The following is a 7353-nucleotide window of genomic DNA, read 5'->3' on the forward strand; positions in this document are numbered from 1 at the left end:
GAAGAGCCTGATGGTTGGAGAAGGGCTGACAGTAAAGATGCAGCCCTAGGAAAATGTGGAGGATGGTAGAACTGCTCAGTATCTTGAGTATAGCAATCATTTGTCAAAAACACATAGACCTATCTACCAAAACAATTGAATTTTACTCAGTGTAGATTTAAAATAAACAATAATTTTAAAAGATGATTCAAAGAGTAGGAGTCTTGCTCACTTACCCTGCAATAGCATTGGATAAATCCTCACAATTCTAATTGCTTGAAGCTACACATATAGATACTGCAGCTCTACTCTTTAATTTCTTGGAGGTTGGGGATCTAAAATCTTCCCCAACTCTGCCTTGGCAGAGCCTGTCCAGCAGAGAAGGAAGTGACTCTGGGATTGAGAGCTGCAGGTGCCAGCACTGTGCACCTGCTCAATCAATACAGCATACCCAGGAAACCTGAGACCATATTAGCTGTGTTTTAAAGAACTTTCAGTGCCCCAGACGAAACTGATCTATGGATTCATGTTCCTTATTCTATACTGCAAGGTGTCTGGAAATTCTGCAGTAACCAAGTATTGTCACCTGTTTCCCTTAGAACTCATCCACTGATAGCCGGGGGGCAGAGGTTGCAGTGAGCCGAGATCACGCCATTGCACTCCAGCCTGGGCAACAAAAGCAAAAATACAACTCAAAAACAAACAAACAAACAAAAACCAAGAAAACAAGAACTCATCTGCTGGTAGCAACATTTTACTGGCCGAAGAAAACACTGTTGCTTCACAGCAAACTATGTAAGGTCTAACTCACCCATCGTTCTTGCAGTTCTCTCTGCTTTCTCATTCCCCAGTAAACCCCAAGGTCACCTCCAAGCTTTCATCATTAAAGGGGAGGGAAGAGGTCATCAGTAGAGCACCTGTGTGCCAGACATTGAGCCAAGCACTTTATATCACTGCAGCCTCTTCCTGGCAGTATGATCTTGAGAAAGTGTCTTAACTTCTCTGAACCTTTACCCTTACTTGTTGAATGGAGATATTAATAACACTCACCTCTCAGAGTTATTGTGAAGATTGAGTTAATGGAAGTAAAGCACTTACAATATGTCTAATAGATAGTAACTGCCCAAAACATAGTAATTATTATTAATAGTAGTAATCATGTTGCTATCATTATTATCACAAGAATTATTCATTAAGTGTTTACTATGCATCAGGCACTGTGCTTGGCAAATTGCATATATCACCTCATTTAATTCTTTTACTGAACCCAGTGAGGCAATTATCAAGGTAGATTTGAATGCATTATTTCGAGTGGACGTTTTGATTCCCATTATACAGGTGAAAATATAAGGCTCAGAGAGGTTGAGTAACTTGCACAAGCTCACACAGTAATGGGAATACAGGTCTATCAGATTTCCAAGCCCACCCTTACAACACCAAGGGAGTAGAGTAGTAGAGCAAAACCTTTAATGATATTCCCCAAGTCCCAGACTTGACTTTGAATGTCAACTTTTTGCTGTATGGCCTTAGGCAATTACTCAACCTCTCTGAATCTGAAAAATGGGAGGATACTGGTACCTACCTTTAAAGGTGTTACCAGTATTTAAAGAGTGGGGGATGGGCCAGGCACGATAGCTCACATCTGTAATCCCAGCACTTTGGGAGGCTGAGGCAGGTGATCACCTGAGGTCAGGAGTTCAAGACCAGCCTGCCTAACATGGTGAAACCCCATCTCTACTAAAAATACCAAAATTAGCCGGGCATGGTGGCACATGCTTGTAATCCCAGCTACTGAGGAGGCTGAGGCAGGAAACTCGCTTGAACCCGGGAGGTGGAGGTTGCAGTGAGCCAAGATTGCACCACTGCACTCCAGGCTGGGCGACAGAGTGAGACTCTGTTTAAAAAAAAAAGAGTGGGAGATGGAAATTGAAGCCACTTAGCACAGTGTCTGTTATGTGGTGAGTCGTCAAACAAAGATGATGATGATGACAATTTATATCTCTCAGCTTCTAGGCACATAGATACCTATTTCAGCTAACAAATTGCTACAGTAGTTTGTTTCAGAAATTATAAAGACACATGCACCCTTATGTTCATTGCAGCACTATTCACAATAGCAAAGACATGAAATCAACCTAAATGCCCATCAATGGTAGACTAGATAAAGAAAATGTGGTACATATATACCAAGGAATACTATGCAGCCATAAAGAAGAATGAGATCCTGTCTTTGGCAGGGACATGGATGAAGAAGGTGGAGGCCATTCTCCTTAGCAAACTAACACAGGAGCAGAGAGCCAAATACCACATGTTCTCACTTATAAGTGGGAGCTAAATGATGAGAACACATGGGCACTTAGAGAGGAACAATATACACTGGGGCCTTTTGGAGGGTGGAGGGTGGAGAAGGGAGAGGAAAAATAACCAATGAGTACTATGCTTAATACCTGAGTGATGAAATAATCTGTACTATGAATCCCCATGACACATGTTTACCTATATAACAAACCTGCACTTGTACTCTCTGAAGTTAAAATATTTTTTTTTTTGAGGGACAGTCTCGCTCTGTTGCCCAGGCTGGAGTGCAATGGCACGATCGCGGCTCACTGCAACCTCTGCCTCCCAGGTTCAAGCCATTCTCCTGCCTCGGCGTCCTGAGTAGCTGGGATTACAGGCGCCCGCCACCATGACTGGCTAATTTTTTGTATTTTTAGTAGAGACGGGGTTTCACTATGTTGGCCAGGCTGATCTCTAACTCCTGACCTCGTGATCTGCCTGCCTTGGTCTCCCAAAGTGCTGGGATTACAGGCGTGAGCCACCGCGCCCAGCCAAAATAAAAGTTTTTTTAAAAAATTCCTTAAAGTGAAACATTTCATTTTATTTCATTCCAGCTTTTGCCTGCATAGTCTGAAATTGCTACTGATCATTCTTTACACATCTTGTTTAGTCTGTCTGGGAAGCTGAATGGACACTTGGCGGGAATGGCTTGGATGGAAAGCCCAAGATGGAGGTTAGAACCTCATAAGTAATAAACATTCATGCTCGTGCACATGCGCACACAAATGGTGCTGTCAACATTTGCCTAAAGTGTAAGCTGCTTATAAAAATGTTTTACTTTCCTAGCTCCATGGTTTATTCATTTAACATTCCTCATTAAGGGTTTAGATCTATATCAAAATGGGGTTATTTTTATTTTAAAAACATATGATTATTTCCTGATTAAAAATTGTTATGTACTTAATGGAAAAAGTTAAACACATATGGAAGTATATCATGTAGAGGAAATCATGACTGTCTTAAAATCTCCTGTCTTCCCCATTCCACTCCCTAAAATAACCATAGCTGGCAGTTTGTGGTATGTTTTAGAAAAAAATGTGTGAAGATGGTAGACAAGATAGAGAATGATCTGGACTGGGTGGACATTGATGAGATAAAATGATGAGACGGAATATCAAGTACTGTTTCATCCTACAAACTAACTGAATAAAGACTGGATGGGAAGAATGTCACAGGGTACATGAGAGAGAAAAAAGACATTAGAGGATTCTAGTTGAGGTTAAGCTTAGCAATACTGAATCATTTACTGGTGATTCCCCCTACCTTGCCCTTCAGAAAAGAAATTAATTCTGACTATCAGAGAGTTTATATTCTGGTAAGAGAAATGGACATTAAACAAAAAAATCATATATATGTGTGTGTGTGTATTACATTGTTATGTTATATTATATTATATTACATTATAACATCTATGTATATAATTTCCATTGCGATAAATGCTGTAGAGTAATAGGTCTCAAACAAGAGTGATTTTGCTCCCCATGGTACATTCAGCAATATCTAGAGATATTTTTGGTTGTCACAACTGAAGGGAAACAGAAGTGGTTCTGGGGTCTAGTGGGTAGTGGCCAGGGATGCTGCTCAACATCTTAAAATACACACGGCAGTTCCCCCAACAAAGAATTGTCCAAAGCAAAATGTGAATAGTTCTGGTTACATAGAGCTAGGAATCCATATCACATGTAAACATAAAGCCACCAATTCAGTGGTTTTATGCAACAGAGGCTGCTTCTTGCTCATATGAATTCCAATAATTAATTCGTAAAGCAGTTAACCCTCTGATGAATTATCAAGAGCCCACTTTTATTAGTCTGTTCTCACGCTGCTAATAAAGACATATCCAAGACTGGGTAATTTATAAGAGAAAGAGGTTTAATTAATTCACAGTTCCACTGGGCTGGGGAGGCCTCAGGAAACTTACAATCATGGTGGAAGGGGAAGCAAACACATCTTTCTTCATATGGCAGCAGCAAGAAGTTCAGAGCGAAGTTGGGGAAAAGTCCCTTATAAAACCATCAGATCTTGTCAGAACTCACTCACCATCACGAGAACAGCACGGAGGTAACCGCCTCCATGATTCAATTACCTTTCACCGGGTTCCTCCCAAGACATGTGGGGATTATGGGAACTGCAATACAAGATGAGATTTGGGTAGGGACACAGCCAAACCATCCCACCACGTCATAGGAGAGGAATCAGAACCTCTCAACTTCAATCCCACCCCAATATTACACAGTGGTAGAAACATCCAACCATTAAGCTTGAAAGCGAAACAGTAAAACCAACACAGATTCAGCTTCTGTCGGGGTTGTTCCTTTGGATGTGTGGGTACTATGAATAACCTCCAATAAAGACGAGAAAATAAATCATTGAGCCCAGACTGGTACGGAAAACAATGACTGAATCAATTCAAATCACATAAGCTCTACTTTCAAATATCTTAAATGTCTTTACTTTTGTCCATCTTTGTTACACTACCACAGTACCTATCACACCACCATCACCCTTAGCCTGGAGGAAGACAGTAGGAACCTAATTGCCTTCCTCCATACCTTCTAACTGCACGCTCCACACAGCAGCCAGAATGTTACTTTTCAGAAATTTTTATTTTAATCAAAAAAGGCATGTGCGTGAATTTTTTTGAGTTAATAGTGAGAATTTATAAATGGTTCTGCAAATTAAAGAGAATTCTGTCTCTGAAAGGCAACCAGGAGAGTGTTTCTGTTCTTCTGTTATTTGCTCACAAGCAAAAATTCGAAAAGCCGATGAAAGCCCCTTAGTGCTTGCAGGTAGCCACTTTCTTATCAAAACAAGACAAAAGAGTAAATCGAACCATCCAGAAAATCACGTATCCACCCCTTAAAAATATTAATTGAGAAAATCTCACACAGTGACAGTGTGAACAATGTGCGTGATATTTTAAAACTCAAAAAGTACTAAAAACTTTTTATGTAAAATTGGTCAATTCTGTTCCTCTCCATCCTTAGTTCAATCCCACTACCCATAGGTGACTAATTTCTTCTAGGGTTTATCTGCATAAAACTAAATAATATACACATACTGTCATTTTTCTTTATCAATTTTAGTCTGTTAACTCCTCTTATGGTAGATAAGGATTTAGCTCCCTTATAACTACCTCTCCTCTTTATTTTCTCCCTGTCCTGTAAATTTTTGGTTAAATATTCAGTGTCTACATTGTTATGACTGTACTAATTTTCTTAAAAGCTGAGCTAAATAATACCTTCTAATCATCTTACTGACTTGGTTAGCTTTCCATTTTTTCCTGGAGTTGACAATTGCCTCTTTTTTTCCATTTGTTTAACTATCTGTATTTTTTAAATTACTCCACCATACTTATCAAATGTCTACCAGTATTATTTTGTAAGTGCTGAATGAACTTTTAAAAACATAGACCTTGTTACACCCCTTTTTAAAACTCTTCAGTTAATTCCCATAGCACTCAGAATGAAATCCCAACTCTCTACCTTGGTCAATAGAACTCTGCATGACCTAGCCTCTGCCTACTTTTCCAAGCCTTCTCAAGCCAACCTCCCTGTCTTTGTAGACTTTTTACATTTCCTAGAATACTCAAGCCCCCTGTTTCCCTGTCTCTTTGCCTGGATAGTTCATTCTTAAACTTCAGATCTTTTTTGAAATGTCTCCTCACAGAGGCTTTCTGTATCCATTGTTTATAAATTAATGCCGCCATCTCATTATTTTACTGCTTTCCTCTTTTATACATTTCAAGGTTTTTTCATTGCCTTTTCTGTATTCCCTGATGTTTCTCTCTCCTCCTTACTCACCTTAATTTTCATGATTAATCGTTATAATGACAACTTCCTTCCTTCATTCACTTCATAGAAGTCACTTGGCAAAATCAAAAACTTGTTTATTCAACTCTACCTTTTTTTTTTTTTTTTTTGCCTCATACCCATGCAGTTGAATGTAGCTGAGGGGAAAAGCATACAACTGCAATAATCATAACTACAAACCCCTTAAAGCTGCCAAGCAATAATTTTCTATTCCCCTATGACATTGATGTTCTCAGTCCTAGAAGACTATTGTGCATCTCATCTTTACACCTGAAACCCCTGATGCCTCCTTCTCCTCCTTCACTCCCAATTGACAATCTTGCTTTTTACTGTTTTGGGAAAATAGAAGCAGTCAGAGGAGAACTTCTCTGGACTCCCACATAGGGTCTATCTACCTACTCTTTGCTCTCTCCTGATTTTACAGAGAAACGTCTCAGTTTTGACTCCTAAGTGCATGCTCACTTGGGTACGTAGACACCATTCCTTCTCAACTATTGAAGAACAGCAGTCCAACAGTTCTGCCTCTTCCCTCCCATGGCATCATTTTTCCCTCCCAATTGGGTCATTTCCATGAGTATGCAAACTTCCCACTAAGTCTTCAATTTTAGAAAAAAAAAAAGCCTTCCTTTGACCTCACATCCCTCACCATCTACATTCCTATTTCTTTACTTAATTTTGAAATGAAACACCTTGAAATATCATCTGTACCCACTTTATCTAATTCTTCTCCTTCCATTCTTTCTTAGACCCACCTTTGCCCTGACCACTTGACCAAACTTCTTTTGTCAAGGTTACCATTTTTTTCCCACATTGCTAAGTCCAATGTTCTATTTCCCAACCTCTTACTGAATCAGCAGCGGTAGTTATAACACATTATCACTTTCTCTTCTATGGAAAATTCTTATCACTTGGCTTAGCAGATACCAAACACACTTTGTGGTTCCCTTTCTACCTCACTGTGTGCTCCTTCTCAGCCTCCTTCACTGATTCTTCCTCCAATCCCCTCCCTCTTTATGGTGGATCCCCCACTCTGCCCTCGGTCATCTTCTCTGCCTACCCTCACTCTGTCTCTGTCTACACTCTGTCTACACTCACTCCCTTGGAGTTGTCATTCAGTCTTATGGCTTCAAATGCCATCTATCTGCTGACCACATCCACATTTACATCCATTTGTAAGATTTTTCCCTGGGTTCATCCTCAGATCTATCTATTATGTTTGTTTTTC

General features: G+C 39.8%; 1 annotated feature.

The window, feature by feature from the left end:
* Positions 6465-6634: an enhancer, noted in NCBI's record as "experimental_24915 CRE fragment used in MPRA reporter constructs". NCBI's record gives its function as "activates a minimal promoter by MPRAs in K562 erythroleukemia cells, with activity observed for both the introgressed and non-introgressed 12:114964159 variant alleles {active_cell/tissue: K562}" and the evidence as "EXISTENCE:reporter gene assay evidence [ECO:0000049][PMID:34662402]".

This window comes from Homo sapiens, chromosome 12 (genome assembly GCF_000001405.40).
Source record: "Homo sapiens chromosome 12, GRCh38.p14 Primary Assembly".
In the NCBI taxonomy this organism is placed as follows: Eukaryota; Metazoa; Chordata; class Mammalia; order Primates; family Hominidae; genus Homo; species Homo sapiens.